Source organism: Homo sapiens, chromosome 13 (assembly GCF_000001405.40).
Source record: "Homo sapiens chromosome 13, GRCh38.p14 Primary Assembly".
Classification (NCBI taxonomy): Eukaryota; Metazoa; Chordata; class Mammalia; order Primates; family Hominidae; genus Homo; species Homo sapiens.
Window position 1 is genome coordinate 64,854,520 of NC_000013.11, and position 20,514 is coordinate 64,875,033.

General features: G+C 34.0%; 2 annotated features.

Moving 5' to 3' along the window:
• Positions 14,998–15,292: a silencer, noted in NCBI's record as "tiled region #7062; HepG2 Repressive non-DNase unmatched - State 24:Quies, and K562 Repressive non-DNase unmatched - State 24:Quies". NCBI's record gives its function as "represses a minimal TATA promoter and a strong SV40 promoter by Sharpr-MPRA in HepG2 and K562 cells {active_cell/tissue: HepG2 | K562}" and the evidence as "EXISTENCE:reporter gene assay evidence [ECO:0000049][PMID:27701403]".
• Positions 17,158–17,452: an enhancer, noted in NCBI's record as "tiled region #6918; HepG2 Activating non-DNase unmatched - State 24:Quies". NCBI's record gives its function as "activates a minimal TATA promoter and a strong SV40 promoter by Sharpr-MPRA in HepG2 cells {active_cell/tissue: HepG2}" and the evidence as "EXISTENCE:reporter gene assay evidence [ECO:0000049][PMID:27701403]".

The following is a 20,514-nucleotide window of genomic DNA, read 5'->3' on the forward strand; positions in this document are numbered from 1 at the left end:
TCCTCTTTACTCCCAAAGGACTTCTCTTTGACCTAAAAGCACTAAAGACCCTAAGTTTTCTTCTGCTGTGGGTGTTCGTATGTGCCCTCTGCCCGGACAGTTCTTGCTCAGATATTTGCATATATTATTCTATCACTTATTCACCTTGTCAGTTCAAATCCCACCATCTTGGAGAGATAGTTTCTTACCATGTTCATCAGGTAAGAAAATGTTTGATTTCAAATTTAAAAAGCACATATACATACATTCAATTATCAGAGACTTAAAGGGCAAGGAGCATTTTTCTCATGTAAAGAGAATTCTGATAGTAAATAGTTTCTGGATGAGTTCTTCTGCTCAACAATGCCATCAAGGCCCACATTCTTCTTTTAAAATTATTTTCATTTGTAATTACTATGGATACATACTAGTTGTACATATCTGTAGAGTGCATGTGATATATTGATAAAAACATACGTAGCAACTCCCCCCTCTCTCTTCCGCCTACTCTGGCTCTATGAAGTGCAGGCTCCTCCTTTGCCTTCTGTCATGATTGTAAGTTTCCTGAGGCCTCTCCAGAAGCCAAGCAGATGCCAGGATCATGATTCCCGTACAGCCTGCAGAATGATAAGCCTATTAAACCTCCTTTCTTTATAAATTTCCCTGTCTCAGGTATTTCTTTACAGCAATGTGAGACAGATGAATACAGCCACATAAGTGAAAAGTAAACTAGCTTGATTTTTGAACATAAGTGAAACTTTGAGTTTATTTTGTGTAAACCCTTCTAACAATCATAAGCAAAACTTAAGTCATCTTCCAAAACTGGTATAAGATAATCACTTGCAAGCAATTATCTTCCATCTGGAAACACCCATTGTAATATCCAATCATTGTAAAGGTTAAATGACTTCCTCATTGTAAGACATCTGGTAAAGACGTGCTTCTTACCACTTTTCACTTTGAGGTCTCTAGGATCTCTGTATATACTTTTTGTATGACAATAAACTTTTATATTTTTCTTAATTTGATCTTATTTTATTTTTTATGGCAAAAGAGACCTTGTGAATGTAAGTTACTGATTATGAAATGAATATATTATCCTGTGTTATCAGGGAGGGCCAATGTGTTAGCAAGAGCACTTACAATATATAGGAAGCAGGAGGGTCACAGTCTTTTAGGAGATGTGGTTAGGAAAGCAGAGGCCATAATGAATGGTCTCTTGGCAGCCAGCCATGAGCTGAGGAATTCAGGCAGCTTCTAGAAGCTTGAAAAACAGGGGAACAAATTCTCCCTTACAGCATCAAGTAAGGAATACAGCCCTGTCTATAGCTTAATTTTGATCCAGTGAGACTATTTTAAACTTTGGATCTCTAGAACTATAAGATAATAATGGACTTTGTGTTTTTTAATCCACTAAATTTGGGGTAATTTGTTATATCAACAATAGGATACTAATGCAACAAAAAGTAAAACCGTTTTTTAACATATTACTTAGAGAGCAAAGTATAATTTTATCAAAGGATGTAAAAATATCTGCAATTCAATGTAAATCAAATATCTTATAATACACCAACATTCTAAGATAACATTTAAAATAATCATAACTGTCAAATAAATCCTTCAATGCTATTATCTAACTAATTATACACATCGGAATGAGGCATTGCTAATAAATGATTGTGTTTAGCTCTGCATATATTACCCTATGGGTTAGGAAATTCCACATGTCTGTGCTGTCTCTCAGGTCTTTGATATAATGAGAAGGGAGAACTTTAAATTATGACTTTTTGATTTAATGCTTCATGGGGAAAATCTTCATTTTCTGTTACATGCTGTAAATATATATTGTCCACGAATAAGTACATATATTTATGTTCATTTCTAAAGAATATTAAAGGTAATATCACTAGACTTTCTAAAATAGTAGTTCATCATTTAATATAACACAAGTGCTCAAGAGAAGTCACATTATTTTGAAGATGAATAAATGCTGTTAATATTTTTCTGTATCTTGTATTCTTGATATTTTATTGTCTTTGATTATACAGACTACTTTTTAAAATTCATTTTTAGCCTTTTCAGCGTACAATATAATATTTAGCTTGTTATTAAAAATTTACATAATTCTAAAGAAATATTTTTTGAACCCTGTCACAGTGATGCCCTTACAGGTTATGCCTGTTTTGTGACAAAATGTGATGACACTATTTTATCACCCTTGACTTACTTCACTTTTATTGAATGATAAAGTGTTGTCGGCCTATTTGTTGTTGCAGCAGTCAATATTGGCAGCTCTCAATAAGCATTTACCATTTCCAGGTTTTGAATAGTGTCTCTATCCCTTCTGAGAAGGTGTAATTATGCCTAGTGTTAAGTTCATAAGATTTTGATTTGATTGATTATAAAACTAACATATCCAGAGTTAGATATGTATATATAGACAGAAATATAATTAATAATAATTAACTTTGCTTCCACATCATGTACAATCAATACCATTACAGTATAGCCATATCTCTTAATCCATCATGTCGAATTTGTACATAGCACCCATTTGTACTTTATTTTATATGACTAAAATGTCACCACCTAGTAATCCCACAGTAGATAAATTGTCTTTGTCCTATTGTGGTATACAAGCTTTCAACATCATGAAATAAGATGTGTTTCTATTTATTGTAAAACAACAAAACTGTAATTGAAAATGTCTTGACATACAGTAAAACTTAAAAACAGACCTATATATCAAAATCTTACGATGATATTTAGTAACTCTTCAGTTTCCATGGCAATTACTCAAAATATATAGAATATCAGAATAATATACTTTGCTAGTTTAAGGAAAACATTACCTTATATTCAGAATGTATTTCATATGCCATTATTTATGCCTTTGAAGTGACATTTCAGAGACACAGAGAGAGATATTATACACACATCTGTAAGTATGTTAGGTATGCTGTCTTACTAACAAACTTCAAGTCTCGGTGGTTTAACATATTATGGTTTTATTTCTCACCCAAACTAATTCTGATGTGGGCATATAGCTCTTACATCATAAATCTATGCCATCTGTAATGAATCTCTGGCCTTCAGATTTTCATCCGGGGAAGAGAAATAGAAGGAGAAAGCAAGCAATTGACTGCCACAGGATAGAATTTGTAACCTGATACTATGCTCATATTTCATCGACCATCACTAGTTACATGATCTAGGTCTCAACTAAAAGAGATTGAAAATAGAAACACGAGTATTTGGTAAGTTTTAACTGTGGTTGCCATATTACGGCATTCAATAAGAAAACCTGTGACAAAGAACATTAACATTAAAATCACAAACAGAGACCATCAAATGTTTACATAAATAACTAGGGACAACACAAAACATGGACTGTCCCTGAGTTAATACAGGTTACAGTCCTATGAGCCAGATAGACAATTAGTCAAATACAATAAGGTGAGATCCATATTATGATAGTGGAAAAACAAAGCTCTGTAGAATCTTAGTTGCTATTTCCATTGCTTTTTAACCCACCTTTCTTTCGGTGTTTCCTCCTGGGTTCTCTTTGCATTTGCCTGAAAAGCCCTCTCTAATCTTTCTATCATAGAAGATGAATTCTGTAAGTTTTGTTTAGTTTTGCAAATATTATTATTTCCTAATTTTTATAACTATTTCACTGAGTAGAAAATTCTGTGTGAAAATATTTTTTCTTTCAAATCTTTAATTCTTTTATCTTCTCACTTTTGTTGCTTCTGTTGAAATGTCAGTTGTCCATCTTATTGTTCCCTTGATGGTAATGTTTTTGTCTTTTAGATTTTTTTTCTGATTGCTTTTAGACTGTTTGCTTTGTTTGTATGCAGCAGTTTTACTTTAATAGAAATATGCATGCTTTTCTTCCTTCCTTTCTTGTTCTCTCTCTCTCTTTCTTTTATGTCCCTAAACTCATTTTGTGTAAGGTTATAGTTCTCCTTAACCCATTTATGCCTAGTGTTTCATTATTGGAACGCTAAGCTTGTGGGAGTTATTTATATCCTACTGCTCAAGGTCATCACCAAGGTCCGATTTTTCAGACAAAAAATTTGCAACCTCTGACATAAATGGGCTAAATCTGTGGATCTTTTATCATAAAAAATTCTCAGCAATTATGGCTTTAAACACCACTTCTGCTTCATTTCTCACTTCTCCCTTCAGGAGTCAAACATGTCTATGTTAGACTTTTGTGCTTGGATCCTAATGCCACTCATACTCTCTTCTCTCTTTTTAATTTTATTTTCTTTTGTCCAGTCTAGATATTTTCTACTGAACTGTATTTTTTGACAAGATATGTTTATACAATGCTATGCACAAAAATAAGACTTTGTATGACTCTATGTACAAGACTGGTTTCTTATAACAATTTGAATGGGCAAAACCACAGCAATAACCAAAAAACCTTTTTAATCAAAAACAGAATGGCTGAATGAATTGTGGATTTAAAAGTTATATATCTATTTTTGTTTGCTTGCTTTTGAACTTTTTATTTTCTTAGGTTTTTGGATAACAGGTGGTATTTGGTTACATGAGTAAGTTATTTAGTGGTGATTAGTGAGATTTTGGTGCACCCATCACCTGAGCAGTATACACTGAAACCAATTTGTAGCCTTTTATCCATCACCCTACTCCCACTCTTTCCCCTGAGGCTCCAAAGTTAATTGTATCATTCTTATGCCTTCACATCCTGATAGTTTAGCTCCCACTTATGAGTGAAAACATACGACGTTTGGTTTTTGATTCCTGAGTTACTTCACTTAGAATAATAGTCTCCATTTCCATCCAGGTTGCTGTGAATGCCATTAATTCATTCTTTTCCGTGTCTGAGTAGTATTCCATCATATATATATATATCATGATATATGTATCACATATATCATCATATGTGATATATGTATCACAGTTTCTTTATTCACTCATTGATTGATGGGCATTTGGGCTGGTTTTATATTTTTGGAATTGTGAATTGTGCTGCTATAAACGTGCATGTGCAAGAATCTTTTTTGTATAATGACTTCTTTTCCTCTGGGTAGATACTCCTTAGTGGGATTGCTGGATCAAATGGTACATCCACTTTTAGTTCTTTAAGGAATCACTACACTGTTTTCCATAGTGGTTGTACTAGTTTACATTCCCACCAGCAGTGTAGAAGTGTTTGATTTTCACATCATCCATGCCAACATCTATTTTTTTTAAAATTTTGGCCATTCTTTCAGGAGTACGGTGATGTTGCATTGTGGTTTTGATTTGCATTTCCCTGATCATTTGTGATTTTGAAAATTTTTTGATATGTTTATTGGTCATTTATGTATTTTCTTCTGGGAATTGTCTATTCATGTTCTTAGCTCACTTTTTGATGGATTTTTTTCTTGCTAATTTGTTTGAATTCCCTGTAGATTCTGGATATTAGTCCTTTGTCAGATGTATAGATTGTGAAGATTTTCTCCCAATCTCTGGGTTGTCTGTTTACTCTGCTTGCTGTTCCCTTTTTCTATGCAGAAGCTCTTTAGTTTAATTGAGTCCCACCTATTTATCTTTGTTTTTGTTACATTTGCCTCTGTTTTTGGTCATGAAGTCTTTCCCTAAGCCAATGTTTATAAGGGTTTTTCAGATGTTATGTTATAGAATTTTTATAGGCTTAAGTCTTAGATTTAAGTCTTTGATCCATCATGAGTTGATTTTCATATAAAGTGAGAGATGAAGATCCAGTTTCATTCTCCTACATGTGGTTTGCCAATTATCTCAGCAACATTTGTTGAATTAGGTTGTCCTTTCCCCACTTCATGTTTTTGTTTGCTTTGTCAAAGATCAGTTGGCTGTAAGTATTTGGGCTTATTTCTGGGTTCACTATTCTGTTCCATTGGTCTATGTGTCTATTTTTATGCCAATATAATGCTCTTTTGGTGACTGTCGTCTTATAGTATAGTTTGAAGTGAAGTAATGTGATGCCTCAAGATTTGCTCTTTTTGCTTAGTCTTGCTTTGGCTATGCAGGCTCTTTTTTGGTTCCATATGAATTTTAGGATTGTTTTTTCTAGATCTCTGAAGAATAATGGTGGTATTTTGATGACAATTACATTGAATTGGTAGATTGCTTTTGGCAGTAGGGTCATTTTGACAATATTGATTCTATCGATCCATGAACATGGGATGTGTTTCCATTTCTGTCATCTGTGATTTCTTTCAGCAGTGTTTTGTAGTTTTACTTGTAAAGTCTTTCATCTCATTGGATAGCTATATTCCTAAGTATTGTATGGTTATTTTTTCCTGCTATTTTTAAAAGGGTTGAGTTCTTGATTTAATTCTCAGCTTGGTTGCTGTTGGTGTATAACAGAGCTACTGATTTGCATACATTAATTTTGTATCCTAAATATTTGCTGAATTTATTTATTAGTTCTATAACCTTTTTGGATGAGTCTTGAGGGTTTTCGAGGTCTACGATCGTATCATCAGTGACCAGAGACAGTTTAATTTCCTTTTTCTGAATTTGTATGCCCTTTATTTCTTTCTTTTGTCTAATTGCTCTGACTGGGACTTTCAGTACTATGTTCAATAGAAGTGGTGAGAGTGGGAATCTTTTTCTTGTTCCAGTTCTCAGAGGGAATGCTTTCACCTTTTGCCCATATGGTTGGCTGTGGGTTTGTCACAGATGACTTCTATTACATTGAGGTTTGTTCTTTGTATGTCAGTTTTGCCAAAGGTTTTAATTATAAAGGGATGCTGAATTTTGTCAAATGTTTTCTCTGCTTCTATTGAGATGATCATGTGATGATTGTTTTTAATTCTTTTTATATGGTGTATCACATTTATTGACTTGTGTATGTTAAACCATCCCTGTATCCCTGGTATGAAACCCACTTGATCATGGTGGATTATCTTTTTGATATGCTTTTGGAGTCAGTTAGCTAGAATTTTGTTAAGGATTATTGCATCTTTGTTCATCAGGGATATTAATCTGTAGTTTTTTTTGTTATGTCCTTTCCTGGTTTTGATATTAGGGTGATACTGACTTCATAGAATGATTTAGGGAGGTTTCCCTCTTTCTCTATATTGTGGAATAATGTCAATAGAATTGTTACCAATTCTTCTTTGAATGTCTGATAGAATTCAGCTGTAAATCCATCTGGTCCTGGACTCTTTTTTTGTTGGTAATTTTCTAATTACCATTTCAATCTCACTGCTTGTTATTGGTCTTTTTCAGGGTTTCTAATTCTTCCTCATTTAAGCTAGGAGGTTTATATATTTCCAGGAATTTATTCATCTTCTCTAGGTTTTCTAGTTTATGTACATAAAGGTGTTCAGAGTAGTCTTGAATAATCTTTTGTATTTCTGTGGTGTTGATTGTAAAGTTTCCCATTTCATGTTTAATTGCACTTATTTGGATCTTCAAGCTTCTTTTCTTGGTTAATTTTCTTAATGGTTTATCAATTTTATTTAACTTTTCAAAGAATCAGCTTTTTGTTTCATTTATCTTTTCCATTTTTTTTGTTTCAATTTTGGTTTATTCTTGTTTCTCTAGTTCCCTGAGGTGTGACCTTAGGGAACTAATGACATTTTGATGTAGGCATTTAAGGCTCTGAACTTTCCTCCTAACACTGCCTTGGCTGTATCCCAGCAGTTTTGATAGTTTGTGTCACTGTTATCACTCAGTTCAAAGTTTTTTTTTTTTTTTTAATTTCCACCTTGATTTCATTATTGACCCAAAAATCATTCAGGAGCAGGTTCTTTGATTCCCATGTATTTGCATGGTTTTGAAGGTTCCTTTTAGAGTTGATTTCAATTTTATTCCACTGTTATCTAAGAGAGTACTTGATATAATTTGAATTTTCTTAAATTTATTGAGACTTGTTTTGTGTCCTATCATATGGTCTATATTGGAGAAATTTCCATTAGCTGATGAATAGAATGTATATTCTGCAGTTGTTGGGTAGAATGTTCTGTAAATATCAAGTCCATTAGTTCTAGGGTATATTTTAAATCCATTGTGTCTTTGTTGATTTTCTATCTTTTTTTTTTTTTTTTTTTTTTTTTTCAGACGGAGTCTCGCTCTGTCGCCCAGGCTGGAGTGCAGTGGCGCAATCTCGGCTCACTGCAAGCTCCGCCTCCCGGGTTCACGCCATTCTCCTGCCTCAGCCTCCCAAGTAGCTGGGACTACAGGCGCCCGCCACTACGCCCGGCTAATTTTTTGTATTTTTTTTAGTAGAGACGGGGTTTCACCGTTTTAGCCGGGATGGTCTCGATTTCCTGACCTCATGATCCGCCCGCCTCGGCCTCCCAAAGTGCTGGGATTACAGGCGTGAGCCACCGCGCCCGGCCGATTTTCTATCTTGATGACCTGTCTAGTGCTGTCAGTGGAGTAATGAAGTCCCCCACTATCACTGTGTTGCTGTCTAACTCATTTCTTAGGTCTTGTAGTAATTGTGTTATAAATTTGGGAATTTCAGTGTTAGGTGCATTTATATATAGGACTGTGGTATTTTTCCCATTAGACAAGGCCTTTTATCATTATATAATGCCCCTTTTTGTCTTTTTTTTTTTAACTGCTGTTGCTTTAAAGTTTGTTTTCTGTTATATAAGAATAGCTACTCCTGCTCACTTCTGGTGTCTATTTGCATGGAATGTCTTTTTCCACCCCTTTACCTTAAGTTTATGTGAGTTTTTATGTGTTAGTTGACTCTCTTGAAGGCAACAGGTACTTGATTGGTGAATTCTTTTCCATTATGCAACTCTGTGTATCTCTTAAGTGGAGCATTTAGGCCACTTACATTCAATGTTAGTAACATTTCAAAATCCTTGTCTTCAAGCTCTGAATTTCTTGTTTCCACTTGTTTGATTCTATTGCTGAGATTTTCCATTGCATTTTATATTTCTCTAAGTGTGTCCTTTATTTCCTGAAGTTGTGATTGTTTTAATTTATGCTATTTATTTCAGTGAAGGTTTCTCCCCTCACATCTTGTATTTTTTTTTAATTTCCCTAAGTTGGACTTTACCTTTCTCTGGTGCCTCCTTGATTAGTTTAATAATCAACTTTCTGAATTCTATTTCAGGCTATTCTTCTTGGATTGGATCCATTGATGGTGAGCTAGTGTGATTTTGGGGGGTGTTAAAGAACCTTGTTTTGTCATGTTACCAGAATTGTTTTTCTGTTTCCTTCTCATTTGGGTAGGGCTATGTCAGAGGGAAGATCTGAGGCTCAAGGCTACTGTTCAGATTCTCAGAGCAGACTGCGAGTTGGGACATGAACTCCAAAAAATCCTCACAGACCTTTTTGTGTTGTTCTAGAACAAACTCCAGCCCTTACCTTCAGGAAAGTCCAGCCTGAACTGTACTTTAAGTTACTATTCCTGTTTTTATTATGTCTATCCTGTTGTTCAACCCATTTATTGGCTTATCAAAATCATTTGTGTTTAGAACTAAGATTTTCTTTTCAATCTTTCTTTTTGCACATTATACTTCTCTGATTGAAATCTCCATTCTTTCATTTATTATCTCTCTCTTTTACTGTTGTTTCTGAATCATGTTAATCATACTATTTAAACTCCTCTTTTACCAGTTAAATGAATTATTTTCAAGTATGTAATTATTTCTGTCTGAATTCGTAGTAACTTTTAATTGTATGATGTAAAACTCATAAAACATACAGGGGTTTGATTTCATAACCATCCATAGAGGGTTCATTGTGTTCTTTATTTAAATTATCATCCATAAACACATTTGTGTGGACTTTCAAATGTGTGAAAAGGATGATGCAGACAGTTTAGTAAGTCCCTGACCCAGTACATTTGTGCTGCTATAACAAAATACCACAGACTGGAAAATTTATAAACAATAGAAATTTATTTATTACACTTCTGGAGGCTGGGAAATCCAAAAGGTGTTTGAAGTTTGGTGAGGGCTCCTCTCTGGTTTTCAGATGGTGCCTGGTTGCTATGTCCTTTAGAGTGGACAAACGCTGTATCTTCACATGGTGAAAGAAGTGCAAGGGCCAAAAGAAACTCCCTAGTTCCCTTAAGCCTTTTTATAACAGTTCTAAGCCCATTCATGAGAGAGCCCTTATGACTTAATCATCCCCTAAAGGCCTTATCCTTAATACTGTTACACTGGGCCTTAGGTTTCAATATATGAATTTTAGGGAGACATATACATTCATGCTACAGCATTTCCAAAGTAGATTGTTAAAGAATATGAACTAAACTTACCAGTTAAATTTTTGCCCAAAATTTCAGTCCTGATTCAAAGATAAGTGCCAGTTAGAGTTACTACAGTGAGGTATCATGACTTAGATTAAATGTTGCCACCAGACTTACATAAAACACTGTGTAACTGCAAATATTTTTAAAGTAATGTATGTCCTTTAGGAAATAAAAAATTCAGTGATGATGGACTAATACAAGTATTTATAACGTGGTAACATTTTCATTTAATAAAGCTCACAGCGGATGTGTATTTATTTAGTTGATAAACTTCAAAATAGAATGTTACCATAAGTTGCACTGGGATTCTAGATCCTGCTTTCTCTGGCTGTCAGAAGCCAAATTGTATACCTCTCTGAATATCATATCCACTGATGACTCTTTGGTAGCTTAAAATCAACTGCAGGAACATATATTGCCATGATAGTTAGGATGACTAGAAATCATGGTTCTCCCTTTTGCTCCCCAAAAAGATATTGGTTAAACATTTCCCACTTACCACTGATTACGACCATGATGGAGCATGAAATTTGGAGATAGACACCAAAGCTTTGAGTCCTGCCACTTAGGAGGTGGGTAGCCTTTGCAGATCACCAAAGGCCTGAAAGTCCCCAGGCCTTTACTGGGAAAGAGTCTTATACACTTTACTCTCTAGGCTGTTTTGTGGATTTGGTAAGTAGGATATGTAACATAGATTTAACATGTGGTCTGCCATGTAGTAAGTGTTGAATATGATTGAATTATTTTACTCTTCCATTGTTCCTCTCCTCTCATGTTTACTCTGGTTATTTTATTTAGTTGTTTTTTCTATTATGGTAATTCAAGGGAACAATGTAGACAAAGTGAAGAAGTAGAGTGAATAGAACACTAATTATCTGACAGTTAATACCTATACCTAGTAACTGCTGAAAATCTCACCTTATACATCAACCATAACTTACTCCTTTGCAGATACTCATTTTTGGAAGGGGAAAGTAAACTTCCTTTCTTTTAGTTTCCATCAGCAATTTGTAACTGCTTTATGTTTACATAATTATAAATTATTGTAACTAAGAATGAGTTGTTCCTATGCAATTTTAACTTAAGAAATAATTACTACTAAAGGTTTGCTTATTCACTGTTTATTTGCTGCTATTTAGCTAAGGAGAGGGCTGTGGTGGTAGCCCTAGCAATGAAGAGGGAGCCCTGAATCCAAGAAATGTGATATTAGTAGAAATTGTAGGGCTTGAAAAATAATTAAGTATTCAGTAAGAAATCACTATATTTGTCAAAAATATATATTATGTAGATGTTACCTGAATTACTATGTAAAGGTTATTTTGCAATATAAGTATACTTATATACTCCAAAATTACAACCACTTTTAGTGAAAAAATTACTATATCAATTTCCTAAACACTATATTTTAATTTTTAAAATAATGAATATTATACTTTTTTGGTTCCCCCTAACTTCTTGGGGAGTTAGCTGTAAACAAAATAATGTTTCTAAATATATTTCAATAAAGCTAGCAATATATACTTTTGAAATGATTTATTCATATATTTCATCTAAAGTACCGAATTTCAGTACAAAAGCCCTTAATTCATACATAATATAAATATGAAATACCTATGTCCCTCATTATTTTACAAGATACAAAAAAATTTACTAAACTCTGGTAGTGTTTTATAGAAAAGAATTAATGTAACTAATATTCTTTTCCCACACTCCTCTGCTCTTTATGTTCCTCTACAGAACCAGCAGCTGAGCCACACAAAGGACATGTTTGACAGATAAAGAACACTGATGCCAAGGTCTGAAATAAATTTTTTAGCATTAACATCTGTGTCTGTGCAAAGCTCTTGGCTGCTTTCTTCATTTGATGCTTGGATGGGTCTGTTAGATCTGTTGACTCCACTGCTAACCATGCTAATATCTGTTTAGCAGGCTCTGGTGACCTGCCCACAAAATCAGACATTGATTAAACTATTTTAAAAGTCCTATCTTTTGGAATTTGTCATTTTTGTTCCTCTGAATGACCTATGTCCACAAGAATTTGTCCTCATTTTATGAAAAGCACACTAAGGAAAAATTATCTATATTTTTCATGTAGAAGTAAAGAAAAGTACAAAGCACGCATCCCTAAGATAATCTCAAATCATTCTCTGTATCTTTGGATGATTCTTTTTCACAGTGCCTCAAAAGTAAATTACCACAAGCCAAATTTATTTCAGTATTAGGAAATTAACTGATTTATAATTTCTTAATTGAATGTCAGGCAATTACATTTTAAAGGAATTTATTTTCATTATTATTAGAAGTTCATACATATTACTTTTGGAGATACAGGACATATATTCCAGGAATTTGCAACAAACTCCAAACATTGACTAAATCAATTTGATCTGATCATATTACAGAGATATTTTCATATACCCTGAAAAACCCAAATAATTCTCATTTAGCAAAAAACATTTTTAAATATGTTTGCACAGATACATAAATATAGAAAATGTTCTTCCATGTTTTTGCCAGAATGTGCTCAATTTAGTATTTTAATAAAATGTGAATAAATAGTTCTTTAAAAATGGGTACTTTCAAAATTTTATGCAGGTTTTTGAGAGTTATATAAACATTTTTATCAAAATTTCTCAACACTGTGCAAGATGAAAAATCAAAGGTTTATATTAATGGTCCAATTCAGGAGAAACAATTTGCTCTAAAATATTTAACTGCTATTGGATTTTGTATGCAAGAGAAAAAACTCACTTAATGTTTCTGTTCAGGCCCAGATTTTCTTTTGTTCTGTGAACTTATGTATGTTTTAATTTCTTACATCTAAGTAGTAAACTGAGTTTTATTAATTGTATTAGGTTTTCAAATAATAATCATAAGAACGTGAAACACAAAAACAAGACACACACAAACACGGGCTTGTCCAGAGCAATTCCCCAGTACAACGACCTCTCCAAATTTGTTGTTATTTATCCCATGAGTGGAACAGACTTGTAAAATAATTTTATAAACCTTGAAGGTTGTTATGATTGAACATTGTTATAAGCACATAGTTGGGTCTTCCCAACACACATCTCTACCATAAAATTTCATTTAGACAAATATAAACAGTTGTTATTTTTCAAATCCAAATTTAAAAATATAACACAGTGATGAAGGGGCATGTTGTATACCTTAATCTAATCCCTAAAGACTAATTAGGCTTTAGCTTTAGTGCTATTCAAATTGGTTTTTATGTGCTTAAGTTATTTGAAAATATCGTCTTCCAAAGTGTAGAGAAATCACTTGGATGACATTGCAAACTTCTGATGCCAAGCTGGGAAAATTTCTTCCAAAGACAGCATCTGGTTCTTTGGCAAAATCCATTGGTAGTTTTTCTGCACATCTAGGTCTGTTATATGGCTGGCTGCTTTTAAGGACCAGTTTCTAGTTTACTAAAATGAAGGACTATATAAATCACTGAGGAACTCTGTGATGCTGATTTAAGTACTAGTTTAAAAACTAAGGCTCCATATATGAGACAAGTATAACACTGACGGCTGTATGCTGATATACTATCATGAACATCTGTTTCTGCAAGTGCCTGTGACTGTCTAAATGTGTAGGATGAATAATCATATTATATGTTCTATAAAAAATTTGAAAATCATTAATATTGTTTGAAAATATATTCTTCACACATTCAGAGTTAATTGAGACACATCAAACAGAAAAGAGTTTTCAGGAGCTGCTCTTTCTACTGATAATGCTATTGATGAAGTGAGTCAAAAAAAATTTCTGTGATGTGAAGTAATATTAATAGTTTAGCATATTTCTGTATTTTCCAAATACACCATATGTGAATATTATTCTTCAGGATACTGAATTCATAATCAACAGAGTGGTTATAAGACAGAATTATTTTCTCTCTGGGTAATTATAATTAATGTAATTCACTAATTTCTGATATAATGATAAATAAGATGGCATACAAAATAAAGGTTAATTTATTAACATCTCCCCCCACCCTTTTTGGTAGTTAGCTTTTTCCTGACTTAAAAAGAAATAAAAATAATGAGAAAATATATGAACAAAGTTTTGAAGGTATTTTTATGGTAATAGTTTCCTTCTCTAGTATTTTATCTATTGTCACTGAGCTTTTTCTCTGTAAGAGCAATTATTCAGATTTCCCTATACATTAATTTACCCTACGTTTTTTCATTGTCTTATATTTATGAGAAACTATTCCAAGCCCTGGAGATAAAACTCAAATATCAGGTGATCCCAAGGTAAAGGAACTTGTACATAACAACATTGAAATGGGGCTCAGGAAAAGAAGGAATAGCTAAAGAGGATAGCTTCAATAAATGTTGACACATAACATAGTAATTATAGTTTAATTGTGAAGGGATCACAGACAATCAGCTAATTTTTCTTGATAAGTCAGGGAGAGTTTTAGTAAGGAGGTGCTATTTGACTAAGTTCTGAAATAATGTAACAGCTTACAAATAAAAAAGAAAAATACTTAATGGAAAATTCCAGAAAATTTGAAAAATAAGTTTAGAGGGATGAGTTGTAAAAGGATATGGTATTCTTAAAGAAATTTGGTTTTCTTGCTGCACACACACACACACACCCTGCTCTAGGAGAAAATTAATATTTTTCAGCATAAAGGTAAATGGATGAAATAAATTTAAACTTAATACAAGCATACCTCAGAGATATTACAGTACAAATCCAGACCACAGCAATAAAACAAATATCACAATAAAACAAGTCACACAGTTTTTTTTTGTTTCATACTGCAGCCTATTAAGTGTGCAAAGGCATTATGTTTAAAAATGTGTACATACCAACATTTAAAAATTCTTAATTGTTATAAAAGGCTAACAATCATCTGCACCTTCAATGAGTCATAATCTTTTTGCTGATTATGTCAATGGTTGCTGACTGATAAGATGGTAGTTGCTGAAGGTTGGGCTGTGCAATCTTTTAAAAAGGAAAACAATGAAGTGTGATGTATTGATTGAGTCTTCCTTTCATGAAAGATTTATCTGTAGCATGCAACACTATTTGATAGCATTCTACCCAGAATTAGTCCTCTCAAACGGTGCCACTGCTTTATCAACTAAACTTATGTAATACCCTAAACCATTCGTTGTCATTTCAATAATGTTCACAGCGTTATTACCAGGAGTAGATTTCATCTCAACAATCACTTTATTTTCTCATCCAGAAGCAACTTCTCATCCATCCAGTTTTATCATGAAATCACAGCAATTCTGTCGCATCTTCAGGCTTCACTTCTAATTCTAGTTATCTTGCTATTTCCACCTCATCTGCAGTTACTTCTTTCACTGAGGTCTTGTACTCCTCAAAATTTTCCAAGAAGATTAGGATGTACTTCTTCTAAACTTCTGTTACTGTTGATATTTTGAACTCTTCCCACGGATCACAAATGTTTATAATAGCATCTAAAATGGCAAATTCTTTCCAGAAAGTTTCCAGTTTAGTTTGCTCAGACCCATCAGAAAAATCATTATCTATAGAAGCTAAAGCCTTACAAAATGTATTTCTTAAAATACAAGACATGAAATTTAAAATTACTCCTTGATCCATGGAGTACAGAATAGATATTGTGTTCACAGAAATGAAAACATTAATGTCTTTGTACATCTGCATCAGAGCTCTTGGGTGACTAGATACAGTGTCAATAAGTAATAATATTGACAGTAATATCATGAAAGAAATCTTTTTTTCTGAGCACTAGGTGTCAAAAATGGGCTTAAAATAAATATTCAGTAAACCATGCTATAAGCTGATGTGATGTTATCTAGGCCTTGTTGTTTCATTTATAGAGCAAAGGTAGAGTAGATTTAGTATAATTCTTAAGAGTCCTGGGATTTTGGGAATGGTAAATGAGCATGGCTGAGACTTAAAGTCAATAGGTGATTTAGCCCCTAACAAGACAACACTGAAACCAGACATTGACTTCTCCTCTCTTGCTATGAAAGTCTTAGATATCTCCTTCCAATATAAGGTTATTTCATTTTCCTTGAAAATCTGTTGGTTAGTGTAGCTACCTTCAACCATTATCTTATCTCAATCTTCTGGATAACTTGCTACAGCTTCTCCATCAGCATGTGCTGCTTCATCTTGTACTTTCATGTTGTAGAGAGGGCTTCTTTCTTCAAACTTCATGGTTTAACCTCGGCTAGCTTCAAACTTTTTGTGTGTATCATCCTTACCTCTCACAGCCTTCACAGAATTTAAGAGAGTGAGTGCCGTGCTCTGAATTAGGCTTTGGCTTCAGGGAACGTTGTGGCTGGTTTGATCTTCTAACCAAATCATTAAAACTTTCTCCACCTCAGGAACGAGGCTGTTTCATTCTCTTACCATTTGTGTGTTCACTTGAATAGTACTTTTACTTTCCTTCAAAAAGTTTTTATTTTTATTCACAACTATGTTAACTGTTGGGCTCAAGAGGCCTAGTTTTCGGCCTATCTCAGCTTTTCCAAATGCCACCCTTACTAAGCTTAATTATTTCCAGCTTTTGATTTAAAGAGAAAGATGTGGAACTCTCTTTATCACTTGAACACTCAGAGGCCATGGTAGAACCCTACTATTAACTGCTAATAATAGTAGTTAATAATAACTACTATTAACTGTTAACTATTAATTTTAACATTTTCATGTCTCAGGAAATAGGGAGTCCCATAGGGAGGAGGAGTGGTGGGGGATGGCTGGTAGGTGGGCCAGTCAGAACACACATAGTATTTATTTATTAAGTTTGTCATATTATATGGGCTAAATTCATGCCACCCTAAAACAACTACCATAGCAGCACCAAAGATCACTGATTTAAAATTGGAGAAAGATGGATAAATATAAGGACCCAGTGCTCACCTTTTCCCAAAGAAGGATCAAAACAGTGAGTAGGTAACCACCTATCAAATAGACCTTCTAAGAGAAAACACTAGAATTCAGCAGAGAAGTGACTGGGAACCTCTGGGATATAAAAGGAGAAGGAAGTGAGACAGCATGCCTGGCTGGGATCAGTCAGGAGCCAAGAGAGACTACGCTTTATGGATAAAAGGTAAACAAGAGATCTCTAGCGGTCCACATTCCCATCATGGACTCCTGCAATCCTAGTCATGCGGGAGCTCTTTGACCCTCACAGGCCCTGAGACTAGCAGAGGAAATTCCCTGGAGTCCACACAATGGCACTGTTCCACAGAGGGAAATTGTGTTGGATCCCACACACTTCCTGAGGCCCAAGAAGCTGCAGCCTGGTGCTATTTTGGGAGCTCAGCTCCCACCAGACTACGTCCTGCCCTGGGACCAATAGTTCTACATCTCCATATTCCTAGAGCCAGCCAGGCTGACATCCTCCCACATCCAACCAGGAAGCTACTTCCATTGCCAGCAGCACTTGTATGCGTTGTCTGGGAGCCTGGAGATTAACTCACCCTGCCCACCACCACCAGTGCCCGTGCACATTGTCTGTGGTTCTGAAGATAGGCCTGCTTCTCCTACTACTTGTGCCACAACTACACAGATTATTCAAGTGCCTGGGGATCTATCTGCCCTGCTCACTCAATGCTGCTGCCTGCAAATACTGTCTGGGGGCCTAAGGATAGGCCCATCCTGCCCACCACCACCTGTCCATGTGCTTGCTGCCAGAGGCATAATGATGAGCCCATCCATCTTGCCAATGGCAGCTATGCAAACCTCCTGGAGACCTGGGTACCAGCCGACCTACAATATTGCATGTACCCCTGATGTCTGTATATGTTACATAGTGGTCCAAGAGTTTGTTTACCACCACCACTGCTGGCACCGTGGGTACCCAAGCATCCTGTACAGGAAGTCCTATCCAGAGCAATCAGGCAAGAGAAAGAAATAAAAGGCATTCAGTTGGAATACAGGAAGTCAAATTGTCTCTCTTTGCAGATGACATGATCTTATACCTAGAAAAACCTAAAGAATCTACCAAAAATTCTTTAAAATGATAAACAAATTCTCTAAAGTTGCAGCTTACAAAATCAACATACAAAAATTAACAGCATTTGTATACATCAATGAAAAACTAGCTGAGAAAAAATAATCTTATTTATAATAGCTACCAAAAAATCTAAGAATAAATTTAATCAAGGGAGTGACAGACCTCTACAACAAAAACTACCTGGCACTGATTAATTAAATTGAAGAGAACACAAATAAAAATACTCATGGATCATAAACAATAATGTTAAAATGATTATATTGACAAAGCAATCTATAGGTTAAATGCAGTCCCTCTCAAAATATCAGTGAGCTTCTTTACAGAAATTGAGGAATAAAAAACTCCTAAAAGTCATAGGGAATTGCAGAAGACCCCAGAAAGCCAAAGAAATCCTTAACAAAATATTCAAAGCTGGATAGGTCACACTGCGTGTTTTTAAAATACATTACAAAGCTATAGTAACCAAAACAGCAGGATTTGCAATAAAAATAGACAAATAGGTCAATGGAAGACAATAGAGAACCCAGGAATAAGTCTATACATTTACAGTCAACTGATTTTTGATAAAGGTGTCCAAGAACATACATTAGGGAAGATCAGTCTCCTCAATAAATGGTGCTGGGAAAATGACTTCTTTGCAAAAGAATGATACTAGATACTGTCTTTCAACATATAAAAAACTATCTCAGAAAAAATCACCTCAAAATGTGATAAAGACTTAAATGCAAGACATGAAATTATAAAATTAATTTAAAAAAACAGTGGAAACACTTCAGGATATTGGTCTGGGCAAAGATTTTATAGCTAAGACTTACTTCAAAGATTCCGGCAATAACAACTAAAATAAATAAATGAAACTATATTAAACTAAATAGCTTCTGAACAGCAAGGAAAACAACAGAATGATGAGACAACCTGTAGAATTGGAGAAAATACTTGCAAACTCTTCATCCAACAAGAGACTAGTATCCAGAATATAAAAGGACCTCAAACATATCAACAGCACACAAACAAACAAAAAACCCACACATAATCCCACTAAAAATGGCTACAAACCTGAATAGCCATCACTAAAAAGAAGATTTACAAGTGACCAACAGGTATATTTTAAAATGCTCAACATTGTTAATTATCAGGGAAATGTAAATCAAAGCCACAATTACTGCACCCCAGTTAGAATTACTATTATCAAAAAGACAAAACAAAATTACAAATGCTGAGGAGGACACAGACAAAAGGGCACTCATACCCTCTTGGTGGAAATATTAATTATTAGAGCCATTAAGAAAACAGTTTGATGGTTTTTCAGAAAACTAAATATAGAACTACCAACAATCCAGTAATTCCACTACTGGGTATTTACCCAAAGAAATGGAAATCAGTATATCAAAAGAATATCTGCACCCCCATATTTATTTCAGCACTACTAATAATAGCCAAGCTATGGAATCAACCTAAGTGTTTTTGAATGAATGAAAGAATAGCAAAATGTGGTATACCTACACAATAAAATACTATGTAGCCATAAAAAGAATAAAATTCTGTCATTTTCAACAAAAGAAATTGAACTGGAGGACATTATTTTAAGTGAAATAAGCCAGGCACAGATAAATACGTAATACTTGTGGTCACTCACACATGGGAATTAAAAAAAAAATCTCTTGACGCTAGTGAATAGAATGGTGGTTACCAGAAGTGGGGAAGGATAGTAGAAAGATGAGTATAAAAAGGGATTGTTAAATGGGTACAAACATGGAGTACGTTCTAGTGTTTAATAGCATAGTAGGTAGCTATAGTTGATAATGATTTATTCTTTTTCCAAAATAACTAGAAGATTCCAAATGCTCTCAACATAAAGAAATGATAAATATTGAAGGTGATAGTCTTCCTGTATAATTTATTGTTTTGTTTCAGACATTGACTAAGATTACAAGAGTAAAAAGAAGTCATTTTATTTTTTTCTCGTCATAATAGTGTTTGCATTAATTTATGTTTCAAACCATTTCATGAAATATTTTTCAATTTAATAAATTGCTTTTTCCTTACATGTTTTCTCTCTATACACACAAATGATGTAAATGTTAATTAGCTTGATCATGGTCATCATTTTACAATGTGTATGTATATAAAAACATTGTGTGGTATTCCATGAATATACACAATTTTTATTTGTTAATTATACCTCAGTAAAATAAAAAGAGAAGTCAAACTCATAATGATCGTATTTTTGTAGTGTTTTCTAGTAGCATTACATTAAAGATCATTCTATAATTAAATCTATTGAATATAAAATATTTTGAAGCATATATATTGTGTAGGAAAAAAGTTCATG